At 42.0% G+C, this 14,217-nt stretch overlaps 1 protein-coding gene across 57 annotated transcripts in view; it reads right to left on the bottom strand.

Annotated features, from left to right (window-relative positions):
* Positions 1-14,217, bottom strand: part of FGGY (FGGY carbohydrate kinase domain containing) — a 466,353-nt gene that overhangs the window by 321,058 nt on the left and 131,078 nt on the right. The window contains exon 1 of one of the 57 annotated variants that reach the window (XM_047424400.1): positions 50-14,210. The exons of the other annotated variants lie outside the window; for them this stretch is intronic. The gene's annotated coding sequence lies outside the window, so the exon portion shown is untranslated. Of the gene's footprint in view, positions 1-49; positions 14,211-14,217 lie in introns of those variants that run through there. 57 annotated transcript variants of the gene reach the window in all.

Genomic DNA, 14,217 nt, shown 5'->3' with positions numbered 1-14,217 from the left:
ATAAATTCATTAAAAGGTTAAGTGCAGGGTTAATTCACATAGCACATACCCAATAAAAAGCAGCTGCTCTTGTTACCATTGTTTTCCCCAGCATCAACATCATCATCATCTCTTGGCTACTTCTGAGAAAGAAAATATAATAAAGAAATGTTCAAATGAAAACCCACTTTAAGACACTGCTAAGAATACTACAGGGAACTGAGATGGGTTGTCAGCTAATTTGATAGCCATTATCCGAACTAAATGAAATAATGGCATAAGCAACCCAGTTCAGCCTGCTCAAGTCAACATAAAATTGAGTTAAGAATCAAATTCTTGGTTCTTATCTTGAATTTGCAAACCAATATTGGGCCCAAACTGTGCCCTCCTGCACAGTTAGAAGCAAAACCACTTAGAATGCTCTAGCCATTCATAGAGAGATGCACTGATTCCCAAACACATTTCTGCAAGCACTCAGCATGGCACTGCAGATAGATAGACGTGAGTACTAGGTCTTCTCCCTTGATTAGCTCAGAGAGTAGATGGGAAAATAGACATATGGAGGAAATGCAAAAAGTATTGTAAGAAAGTTTTAAATGTGGGTACATATATAAAGCTTTATGGGAGCACAAAAGGCTACAGAAATTAGCTCTGTGGAGGTTCTGAGAACTTCAATAAATAAATACCAGAGAAAAACGCAAAACGTCCTTAAAGTGTGCATCCTGAGGAACCCAGGATAGAGTACTTAAGTTTTCCCTTGTTTGTCCGTTCTCTGGCTGAAACAAACTCAAGAGTATCTTGAATGGGTCACACTTCCATTCACTTCTGTACTTGGTAACGCACTCCTGAAACACCTTCACCTTTCTTAACCTTGGTAAATCCTAATCACCTTCTGGTGTCAATTCCTCTGGGAATTCATCCAAAGGTGTGTTATTCGCCCCTCCACTGTGCCTTAATTGCTTCCTATCATAGCATTTATTGCATTATGATCACCTGCTAAATTATTTCTCTCTCCCATACTACACTGCACACTAGATGCAAGGATGGTACATTCTACATTTTAGTCTTCCTAGTAAGGAGGACACATAGTAGATGTTTAATATTTACTGAATCAATAGTTATCACTGATGTCTTCTTTGACCTACTACCACATACATAAATATCTATTTTATTTTTGCATAGGAAGACTACTTTGAGTGTTGGACTGAAGCTCTACCTTTGCAACTCAGTCCATAAGCTTAGTTTTTAAATGAGTTCATATTAAAAACAAACAAAGCCACCCACAAACAAAAGAGATCAGAGGCCCCTACTCAAATGTAAATCAATATGCTTGCTAAACTAAATGAGGAAAGAAAGCTGCCTGCTTGCTATCCTCTTTAATTTGCAAGAAGGAGCTTTGTGGGGTTTCTTAAATATGAAAAGATAAAAGTGCACTTGGAGTGTACATGTTCCTTTTTTATCTCCTTTAGAATTACCATGTGTTTTTCTAATTGAGAGCACTCTTAGGGCTTATTTAAAAACCAGATATGAGGGGGAAAAAATGGCCTAAATTCAATCTAATTCTCTTGTGTATCATTTCCGTTTTTTTTTTTTTTTTTTGAACCTTGCAAAGCAGTTTATAACAAATAAATTATGTCTTATAAATTAAGCAACTGGAGAAACTGAGATGGGAATGGTTGATGGCAGGCTTTAAAAGATACCACCACATATCATTTGAGGTCACAGTATTCCAGTTACCCACCAGCCTGGCTGGATCGACTAGTTTTAATGGTGTGAGACATATTTCTCAGTACATCTAAAATCAACGATCACTTACTAATCACACCCAGTCCAAGTTTTCTTAGGCAAAAAACCGTAAGTTGAGAGAGTAGTATTCAATGGTTTGGAAATATAGAACAAAAAGGAATGTCAGATGGAAAGGAAAATTATGCCTAGGGAAGAGAAGGATATGGAATAATGGAATAACCATCTTTAGGAAGAGAACTATTTTCAGTTAAAAGCAGCTGCTTTTCATCTTTATGAAAGCAATAAGCATAAATTTCAGTAAGGGAGGGTTTCGATCATCTGAGGAGAAGCTGCCTAACTTGTAGGGCTAGAAGACATGATGATGTGGAATGGGAAAAGATGACAGTCTTCTTTAAAAGGATCTTTAAGGAAAGGAGAGTTCTATCATTTTAAGGTGGCTGGGGAACTGTCTGGCATTAAGAGAGAGGAATGGATTACACAGATGATTTCTGGTGTTTTTATTAGTATTGTTGTTACTCTGGTTCAATGATTCTGTGATTCATTTCATTTACTATAAAGCCAAACTCTTCAGTCTCGACAAAAGTACAGTATTAAAGAATAATGTTTCTGGGAATTTCAAATTCATGAAAATAGTTGTTTCTAATTTATGGTCTTGTTTAAACAAAACCACACAAGTTCCCTTTTAAATTTCAATTAATTAAAATCTATTGAGCGGCTATGAGGTGCAAATTCCATGCAAGGTGTCAGGCACACGGAGACAAGACACAGTCCCATTCAGTACGCTGGAGGAGAGAAAATGGGCCCATCCATTACTGCAGTGTAGCTGAAATATAATAAGTAACATTAAAGAATTATAAACTGCCATGAAGTGACAAAGAATTAAGAGACAACATCCAGTTGGGCTGTCAAGTGCAAGGAAAAATAGAGGGAGAGAGTAGATTATGAAGTAGATATAAAAAATTCATGAGATAGTAAATATTATAAACATTATAGACAAAGATGCAGAACCGTGTATATTTAAATCATGCGTTGGAACAGAGACTGGCCTCATCCAGAACAAAGCTAGGGGTACTGAGGAAATAAGAAAACTTGGAAGTTGTTTTAGGTCATGGAAGTAACCCAGTATGTAAATTTCTAAATGTGAAGCAAAAGATATTACCCCAGAGTCAAAATAAATTCATTTCCAAATATTTTCCCCCTCAATTGAAATACATCATACCAAATTTTGGTATTAGTTTTTAAGATAATTCCTAATACTCAGAAGTTACAATTTAGGCAATTAACTGGTATGTGCCAAACACAGGCAAAACTTTTGGTTTCCCGGGGACTATAATGAATCCACAGGGAACTAACATGAGTTTTGATTGCCTGGTGGAAGAACAGCTAACAAGATGAACTTGGCACTTTGAGTGTTTAGAAAAGTTGTCACAATAGGTATCGGACTCTGAAAATTTTTTCCAAAGCACAAGGAGAGGAACAGCAACATTAGCCATTTTAAAAAATCTATGATATGCCTAAACATGAGCACTGGCTAATTCTGCAGAATTTGTAAAGCATTCTGGGTTGTATATTGAAACAAAGAAGGAAGTGAGTAAGTTCCCAACTGATACTTACCTCTCAAGTAAGCAGCCAGAATATTTTAAGATGCTATGTAGTCTAATGGAAAGGGCAAAGGCTTTGCAAACAGGCTAACTTGGATTGAAATTCCAGCCCTGCCACTTGTTATGTGAATAGTCTTGGGCAACTCTCTGAAACTCTCCATGTTCTCACATCTACAATGGTGGTAATAACAATGAACTAAAAGCCTTGGTGAGGAATAGACTGTAGTCAAAGGACCTCCTGGCACAGCAACTGACCCATATACTGGCCCTCAATAAACAATAGCTACTATCAGTAGCAGTCGTATTTCTTCACTTTAGCCTGCCACATTTAAACACTCACATACACACACACACATAAGTACTAAAAAGACTTCTCCTGAAATCTGTGCATCAAGTTTTATGGATAATCTCTCATTAAATGGTCTCTTGTAAAACTTCAGTATCTCTCCCTGACTGGTCAGAGGCCATGTGGGCCTCACTACTTCACTACATGATTTTCCTGCCAGACTAAATTGGCTCAGATTCCCTCAAAACAGTTAGTTCCCTTAACCCAATACTACTCTAGACTGGGAAGGGGGTCTGAAATATTCATGTATTTAGTGACATTTATGTAAAAACTCCAAACAGAACATTTTAAGTTAAATATATATCCCCTTACCAGGGGACTATAGCAATCACTGATATGTGCACATATATAACCAGATATAATCTCCAGAGCGAGCTGCATTCTGTAAATTTATAATATCAGTGTTAATATGAGTTAAGCACTTCCCTAACTCCTCCCCCAAAGCAGTCACTAGACCCATTGCTTTGAAAGCAGGATCAAGGCAAATACATTTTCAGCCCCTACACGTAATGGGTACACAGGATTTCATTATACTCTTTGCTGATGTGTATGTTTGAAACTTTCCAGAGAATGGGCCAGTCTAAAGGGGTGCAGACTGCGTGCTTAGCGCAGTGCCTGGCCTGTGATGAGAGCTCTACCACTGGGCCAGTTTTGTTACTGTCGTTATAGGGCAGGAGTGGGTTTATCTCTGCACTCACACTTTTTATATTCTGGTTGACTCTGTCTACAACTGGCTCCCAAACACCAATCTAGCAGAACACCCAACCTGGTGGTCATGGCAGACATCTTCACACATAATGGAAATTAAAGCACAGGGCTCCTCAGGAAACAATAAAAATCTGCCACCCATTCTATCTCCCAATAACCATGAGGAAGAAGAGAAACTGTCAGGAAGGTGGAGGACCAGGTATGAAGGATAAGGAAGAGCAAAGTCTCCAGGATGACATCCTAGGGTCTGGATCCTTCTTCAAAGACAAACTCAGCATCTGAAGTTCCTCCTCTGCTCTAATTAACAATGGGTCAGGGAAATGAGGGCCTGTGGCATAGTGTCATGGGAGAGTTTGGACAGAACTTGTAAACACCCACCTCCTGACCTTTCTCCAAGGACAGTGGCCTTAGGCAGTGGTAAACAAAGATCACCCCCGAAGAGCTACTTTTAGTCCTATTTACAACAGTAAAAGCCAAAGTACTTTCCCTTCCTGTGTTGTGACAAGACAACACAAGGCTTCCTGCACCCCGTCATTCAACTTTACCCAGTCTCCAGGCACAGGCTGAGATCTACAAAGAGAAGTGTTGCTCTATGCCAGAGAAATCCTATCCTGTGTGAAATTTCCCAGAGAAGGGAGGTGGCATAAAAGCAAATTCAGGAACTCTTCATTCACTTACTCTCATTCATTCATCCAGCAATTTATTCATTTATTTATTCATTTATTCATTTCCTTGACAAACGTTTATGTAAGCACCTCCTACCTAACGAGCCAGGGCAGAAGAAGAATGAGATGAACATGCTGTTGTTGTAGGGGCCATGGGCAGAAAAGCCAGAAAAGACAATAAATTACAAAAATAACTATAGAGTTACAACCATGATAAATGCAATGAGGGGCACTTGAGGGGGTTCTAGTCTAGTCCATGGGCTTGGAAGAAGTTTGCGGGGGGAGGAGGACTGAAGTTCAAATTTCAGGGACAATGAAGAGACAGCCCCATGAAACAGAAGGGCAGAGGGTGCCTGCCGTGGGAAGAGAACATAAGGAAGAGCAGGGAAAGAAAGAAGGTGGGGTGACTGAGGGACGGTGAAGTCAGTGCAGATAGAAAGGGGCAAGGGAGGATGTGCAGACAATTGAGGGTGAAGAGGCTAGAAGTGCTACAGGGGCCAGACATCAAGATTCATTGTCCATGGTAAACACCAGGGAGTCCAACCTGAGCGCGGTAGGGAGGCAATGATGGGATTCAAGCGAGATGCTGTCATGATCAGTTCAAATCCCGACTGTGCCACTTCTCACCAATGTGACACCAGGCCAGCCACAGTCTCTCTGACTGAATCTGCCCCATGAAGTCAGCTCCTCCCATGTGCTCGCTCACTCAGTGCACACACATTGCTTTCTCGTGTATCTCCTTCATGCTGGCCACTGTCTCAGGCAATGGGATGCAGCAGTGAACGTGACAAAAATCTTTGCACTCCTGGAGCTTACAGTCAAGTGGAGGCATCAGAAAATACACACACACACACACACACACACACACACACACACACACACGCAGGCACACACGTGAGGAAGGAAATAAGCAAGTGGCAAAGAAGAAAGTGACCCAGTAGGCCATCTTTGGGCAGCGTGGGCAGCAAAGGCCCACTCTGAGGAGGTGACATTGATCTGAGGCCTGAGGAATAAGAAAGGCCCTGCATAACAAGGAGACACAGGCAAAGGGGAGAGTGGCTGCAAAGGGGCAAAGTGCTTGTCTGTCTGGGCAAGTGAAGTGGAGCATAGAGCATGAGGGGCGGGCAAGGCTGGCAAGAGAGGCAGCGTCCAGAAGGCACAGGGCCTCTGTGGCATGGGGATGTCACTGCACCAACCTCAGGACTGGTCTGTGCCACGATCAAAGTTGCATTTTCAGATCCCTCAGGGATCTTCAAATGGAGGGGCTGGAGGGGCAGGAGTAGAAGTAGTGAGATCTAAGAGGGGGCTTCTGTGTTTCCTTTGTCATTGGACATACACGTTGCATTTTATTATTCCCCAGATACTGGCTTCAAAGCCTCTGGCAAAATATCAACCTCTTTGTGCCTTAGGGTCCTCATTATAAAACAGGGGACATAATATCCACTAACTCACATTGGGCTGTTGTGAGGATTAAATACAAGTTGTCATTTGTAAAGGACATTGGACAGTGCTGGGCTAAGCTCTCCATGTATCTTGGATATTCTCATTGTCTCACTAATTTCCTGTCTATCACTGCTGCCGGATCCTGAGCACCTCATCTTTATCTGCCCCGCATCTGTCCCAGTATTTATATTAGGTACTCTGTCAATAAGGAGTTGTAAATTTTTGTCTGAAGACTTAAATTGGCCCAAAGACATATTTTGTTTAGCTGATGCAGAGACTTCAAAATGTGTAACTGTGAATGTCTTTAGGTTGGCAATATAGACAGTGTGTGTATCCCCCCCTCAAAATTCCTGTGTTGAAACCTAATCCTCAAGGTGATGGTATTTGGAGGTGGGGGGGGCTTTGGGAGGTGATTAGGTCATGAAGAAGTAGGGCCCTTGTAAAATGGATCCCAGAAAGCTCATTTACTCCTCCCGTCTTTTGAGGACACAGAGGAGATGGCTACCTATGAACCAGGAAGTGAGTCCTCACCAGACATGGAATAAACTGGGGCCTGGATCTTGGACTTCCTAGCCTCCAGAACAGTGAGAAATAATTTCCGTTGTTTATAAGCCACCCAGTCTATGGCATTTTTTAATAGCAGCCCAAAATGACTAAGACAGCTGGGTATGCCCTCTCTAGTTCCCTTGGGCCCCTCCCTACCCTGTCTTGTCGCATATCTGCCAGAGTGTTAAGTGTGTCCTGCCTCTGCAGGCACTCACTTGTGAACCCTTGAAAATGCTATTGCTTGGAATGTCTGTCACAAATACAAATGACACAAAGCCACACAAACCATTCACTTACCTCCCTCCAGCCCCCACTGGTACAATGAACCACAGAATCTGACTTCCCAATTTTTTTCATACTGTCATTCACCATATATTTACTGAATACCTTCTAGGTCCTAGAAACTGGCAGAAAAAGACACAAAGTCTGCCTTAACTGAACTTACAATTTGGTGCCCATGAACAATGATACTGTAGAGTTTTCTTGGGTGCAAAAGGTATACTGATAGTAAATCATACTAGGGAGTTTAAGCCTTTTGAGCAGATTATCTTATTGTGTTTTAATAATAATCCCATGGAGGTAGACAGGACAGGTAGGTTACTCTGTTTTGAAGGTAAACAAATCAAGGATCAAAGAAGCTAAGCATGTTGTCCAAAATGAAACAAATAATAAATGGCAGATCTTGAATTCATGTCTCTGTCACTAACAAAAACACTGCAAAGCAGGGAAGGGTTAACTCCATTTGTGTAATAAGCCATAAAGTTTCCTCCCTAAAGCATGCTACAGATCTAGAATTTAAAAAGGAAAACTGACATCCAAGCACTAACCAGCACGTGGGTAACGTAACCTACACTGGCTTAGACGGTGGGAAAATCATGACAACGGAGCTGGCGAAGAATGAGAAACTTGAGTTTCCAACAGAGTTCTCATTGGGCTCTATGTGTCACCAGTGACACATCTGGAAATAAAAGAGAGAAATCAGGAAACAGAATGCAGCCCCTGCTTTGCCAGGAAATTTACAAAAGCATATTTTTGGTTAAGGCAAAGAGATTTTGCCAGGTGGTACCATGCCAGACAGATGGTCTCCATGACCCAGTAAGAGCTGCTCCAGAGGGACCCTCTCTGGTATTCCCCGTGAAGGCCTGGCACACTGAGATCATTGCAGCCACCACCACAGGCAACCTGTGCTCCAGACACATGAGGCCTGGAAAATACATCATCATCTTTGAGAGATCCAGCAGCCTGAACAATTCTGAAAATGCCCTTTTCGGATATGAACACTACTCAAGGCTCCTTGGCCTTCATTTAATTTAAATCAGTGGTTCTTAATCAGGGACATTTTGTCTCCCAGCAGATAGCTGGCAATGCATGGAGATATTTTTGGTTTATCTGGCTGCGGGTGGGGATATGTGCTACTGGCAACTAGTGGGTAGAAGTCAGGGATGGTGCCACACATCCTGTCATGCACAATGGGACAGCCCCACAACAAAGAATTATCTGGCCCAAAATGTCAATGGTGCCAAGGTTAAGAAACCCTGATTTCAATGTCTAAAACTGATGGATACGCCCAGCCTTGGAGCTAGGCTCTACAGATACAAAGGTCAGTTGGATATGTCCTTTTCCTCAAGAAGTTCTGAATCTTGTGGGAGAGGTAATCATGTAAGGAAATAACTGGCATTTAGTGTGACTGGATTGAAAACTACCCACAGTCTAGTGGTGAGCTCTGAAGTAAGAGAGCTCCCAGTCAGAACGATAGCTTTGCCGTTTACTTATTAACTATGTGACCTCAGGCATGTCACTTAGCCTTTCAATCTCTTCTGAAACTAGGAATGGGAAATTATGATACTGATACTACTCCTACACCTCTTCTTCCTACTACTATTACAGCTTCTACTAGAGAAACACCACTGTGACTACTACTAGAATTGCTGCTGCTGCCATTACTACAGAGGTGGAGTACCAGACAGACAGGAGGCACAAAAGATTGGGAAGCAGAGATATTTACAAACTCTGGAAACTGCCACTAAAGGGGAAAAACTTTTTTCTGCATACTCATGACAATTTTTACATCACGTGTGTGAGGGATTTTCCCACACTAACCAATACTCTAACTCTTCAGAAACCAACCAGGTGTCCCACAATTCAATTCTAAACTAACTACCTGGAGTAAGGGCAGATCACACAGGTTAAGGCTTCAATCCAAGACTGCTCCCATTTCAGATGCCAATCAAAAGTCTAGGCCTTCCATACTTCTGACTGATCAGCTACATACTGGAGGTTCCCATAACCCCCTTTTTTCAGGTTTGATAATTTGCTATAATGGCTCACAAAACTCAGGGAAACACTCTACTTAAATTTACTGGCTTATTATAAAGAATACAAATACAAATGAACAGCCAGACAAAGAGGTACATAGGGCAAGGTATGTGGGAAGGGGTGGGGAGCTTTCATGCCCTCTCCAGGCACCTCCACTTGTTCACCAACCCGGGAGCTCTCCAAACCCCATCTTTCAGGGATTTTTAGGGATGATTCATCACACAGGCATGATTGCTTATTAACTCAATCTCCAGCCTCTCTCCCCTCCTGGTGGATTGGGTGGATGTGGGGAGTAGGGCTGAAAATTCTGAGCTGCTATCCATCACATGGTCTTTCTAGTGACCAAGTCCCATTCTGACCAACTCCCATTCTGAAGTTATCCAGGAGCCCAAGAGTCGCCTCATTAAAGCAAAAGATGCTCTATCGCTTAGGAAACCCCAAGGGATTTAGAAGCTCTGTTAGGAACCAGAGTCAAAGTCTAAATAGTACAACAAAAGATACTCCTAGAATGTTGATCACTCTGGAAATTACAAGGCTTTTAGGAGCTCTGTGTCACAAACCTGGAACAGAAACTAAAAATATATTTCTTATTAGTCACAGCACCAAAAGGGAGAAGGTGTGTTCCTTCTTCATCTATTCTCCATCTTGCTGCCTTGAAGGAAGCTGTGGTTGAAAGCCACTTTGGATCATGCAGAAAGGGGCATCATGTTAAGCACAGTCCAATGCAGAAGCTACCTGGGTTCCTGGATGATCTCATGGAAAGCATCTACGTCCGGACTATCAGATAAACAAATAATCTAACTTATTTAAGCCACATCTAGTGCTATAGCCTAATAATACAGAAGTGTAGGAGTCAAAGGTACAGGCCAATTAAGAAAGGGCATTACTAGCAGAAGAAAGTCACATATGCGAAAATACAGAGTTGAAAGAGAATAAAGGGAACCATGGGGCTTGATCCATGGTAGTGTGACAGGAGGTAAGACTGGAGAGTCAGGGAGCAGCTGGATCACATTGGACCTTATATTCCTTATACTAGGAAGTTAGGACTTGTTTCCTGCCAGCAGTGGGATGTTACTAAAGAATTCAAATAGTTAAATAATATCAGATTTACATTTAAAGACAATACTAGGGATGTATGAAGTACTGTTTTGGTGGGGGTAGAGAAAAGAGGAGGTAGGTGACATGGGGGAGAAGTTGGAGGAAAGGCAAAGATGACTGGACCCAGGGAGCCTAGTTAGGAGGGCAATGGATCCCAGTGATATCTGAGGCAATATATAGATTGTCCCCCACTTAGCTAACAGTAATGGATATGGAAGGCATGCCATCAAGGTTTCTTGTTTGAGTTATTGGATCACAGCACCTTTACCATGATAGAAAACACAGAAAGAAAAGCAAATTTATTTAGGGAAAATGAGTTGAGCCTAGGGTGTCTATGGGTCAGCAGGTAGGGCTACCCAATGAAAAGTGTGCCCTTAAGGCTGGAGCTCAGGAGAGGTACAGGGCTGATATTCAGATAAGTCATTACTGAAGAGTGGTGTCTGAAATCATGGGAAGGCATGACATTTTGTTGTACTCTGACGACACTGAGATATATGACCAACTGTATTCAGGTAAACCTCTACTAGCAAATGGAAAACGTGTACCATCTCCTTTCCATGTTTATTATGAACCAAGAGATTTTTTATTAAGTCTACATACTAGGGAATAGAGGCAGCTGGGCAAAGTCTCAAAACAGAAAAATGCTAGAGGAAAATGGGCCCTTATGAGAAAAAATTCTCAGCTTAGACCACAGACTGCTCCTAAAAAAATCCAATTGGACCCAACCTTAAGTATGCATGCAGGGCCCATGAGCATACCTGACACCTGCAAAAGACATTCATGTCTTCCAGTGTAATATGAAATGTCTCCCTGCACCGGGATTTTACACCAAAAAAGACATGAAATGAATCCAACTCCAATATTCAGGGTGGTTTGGACCAAAATGTACCACAGAGAACATTCAGATGTGACTTTCAAGGCCCCTGGTGCAATACTTTGTTTTAAACAGAAGTAGGCGTTGACACTGCTGTGAAAGATTTGCCAGTGGCTCCAGTTATCACAGGGCAGAAAAAGCCAAGTAATTATTTTCTCCCCAATTATGGCTAATTCTCTGCAAGTTAATTCTTGGCTTTTCTAAAATGGGACCAGAAAATTAGCTCTTCACATGCAAAACTGAAGATACAGGACCCAGCAACAGCTTATGGCCTGGGGTTTATTCCTTATTACTTCTTAAAGTGTGAGGAGGGGGCAGGAAGTGGTGTTTTGACTTAGGCACCATTTAGCCAAGTGGAGGGAAAAATCTCCCTTCAGCTCTGAAACAGGATCATGCAGCTATAAAATTTATTGGACACAATTGAAGCAAGGGTGTTGGGTGAAAAGAATCAAAGAAAGAACTATGGGCTGAGTTCAGAAGGGTGTAACAAAATCTGCACCTGTTGTCACTCACTTATTACTCCAGATCTCCCAGGCAGCTTAGATTTAAACCAGACAGTCCTGAGGCCCAGCCTAGCCAATACTGGCCTATTTATTAGCACAGAGTAAAATATGTGCGTCACGTGTGTGTCGTGTGTCTGTGTGTGTGTATACATGCATATGTGCACACCTGTGTATGCATGGATGCATATGCATGTGTGCTGGAAATAAACTGAGAGAGAAGGAGCCTAAAGGGGAATGAGATTTAAGAGTTGTACATGTGTTGGGGGAGTGAGGAGACAGCAAACTTGGCCAGTAAATTACTTTAGCCTAGAAAATGCAAATTCCAGATTCCCTGATATTTACCATTTGAGGGTTGTATTTTCATGTCGGTTTTGATCAAATCCCCAGAATCGTTTTCACAAAAGAAAAGCAATAGCACCAAATGAATTGAGTTGATTTGAAAGAAACTTACCAAGCAAAAAAATCAAGAGGGAAAACTCTTTCTATAAAGAAATATCCCACTTGTCCTCCGAAGATCTCTGTTTCCACATACACTCTAAATCTCCTCATGTATATTTATTATTTTTTAACCTCTAAGTTTCTAAGATGAAAAAAAAAACCAGAATTATTGAAATTAACTTTACCAGGGCCACCAAGAGATTTACTTTGCTAAACGTCAACTCCCAGTCATCTATTTGGCATATCACTTCTCTTTAATCTTTTACATTCAGTGCAGCCATACATGTGATTGTCTTGTACTTCATTTGCGTGAAAGTGAAGAAAGCTGTCTGCCACATGGGCGTGGTCAAAATGAGTGGCCTGCTACTTGTCATATTTGCTGAGCACACCTAGACCAGAGAAAGCCCCAGCCAGAGAAAGGTACACAGAAAGAATGGTAAGGTTTCCTTCCTTTTTCACTCTAGCGGGTAAGGACCAGGATTTTCACTAAGTTCTGGACAACAGAACAGACATAAGTGAGAGGGATCCTCACGCCACCTTTCGTATTCAAAAGCACCTCTAATGCTGCCATGTGGTCCACTCAGGACTCACTTGTACCAAAACCAAAAGGTGCCATCATAGACTTCGGAGGTGGGCAGTCCTCAGCTCAATTCCCAGCCACGTGACCTTGGGGCAACATAATATGAACATGTACTGAGTGCTACTGACATCTGGGGCACTATAGGATGTTTTATCTGGATTATTAACTTAAAAGCTATAGCCCCATTTCTCAAATAAGATAACTGAGACTGACAGAGTTAGACAAACTGACCCAAGGTCACGTGCACCTTTCTCAAATAAGATATGCTCAAAAGAACTGGGCAAGGAGGCATTAATGAATCTCTCAATCACCTTTCTGATTTCTGTGTACTGATAGGCAAAGCCATACACACTGGCATCTAATTACTGTACTGAGGTATTCTCCAACTGGGAAGTAGTATAGGGTGGCAGTTCAGCGCTTCGGTTCTGGAGGCAGACAGACCAGAGTTTGAATTCCAGCTCCATCACCTATTAGCTGAGTGACCTTGGCAAGTCATTTAATCACTATGAGCCTGAGCCTCCCTATCCGTAAGGATGAGGGTTAAGTGATATAATATACATATGGTAAACTCTCAATGAAAGTCTGGTTGTGAGTATGTTCCTCACCATTGTTAATAGATCCCTGAGTAATTATTAAGACCAGAAAATGTTTCATGATCCCTCTAGAATCACTTGCAGGACACTTGGAATCATAAAACCACAGAGGCAGAAATGACCATCAAGTCTCATAATAGCAGGCAGATGTGCCACTGTCACACACTTGGCAAATACCAATAGTTGACTGCTCTTTCTCACTTAGCTGAGATGGGCTTCCCAGCCATCCCCCATACTGTACTCTGGACAGCAACTTCCAATCAGTAAGACTGACAGCTAATCTATCTGCTGTCCTTAATCCAGTCCCACCACCCTACATAAGAGATGATATGAAGCAGAAGGCCATTGGAGTTAAGTGACTGGCTAAAGGTCCCCTATCTAGTAAGTGACAACCCTGGCCCCTGAACATAGACCACCTAACTCCTCATGCAGTGTTACTTCCATCTCCCACTCTGCCTCTCCAAGCTACCGACACATTTTCCAGGAAATGATGGAAGGTACTTTGACTGCCTTGTCTTCTTCCTCAAGGCTGCACAGAGGGGTTGCTGCACTCAGCAGATTATGTGCCATCTTATTCAGACAGGCCCCCTTCTGTGACAGGTACAGAGGAAAGGGGAAAAATAAAGCATCTCTCAAATGCTTTGATTGAAGACAGAGACTACAGATGTTCCTGGAGAACTCTGGTTCTCAGGAGCATGAGCAAAAAGAAATTCCCCGAGTCCAGAGAGCCTGGACTGAAATTTAAGCTACAGCAATGTGAGTCATTTCAGCTGAGGAGGAG

Source organism: Homo sapiens, chromosome 1 (assembly GCF_000001405.40).
Source record: "Homo sapiens chromosome 1, GRCh38.p14 Primary Assembly".
Lineage (NCBI taxonomy): Eukaryota > Metazoa > Chordata > Mammalia > Primates > Hominidae > Homo > Homo sapiens.
Note: the sequence above shows the minus strand (reverse complement) of the source record. Positions and strands in the feature narration are given on the sequence as shown.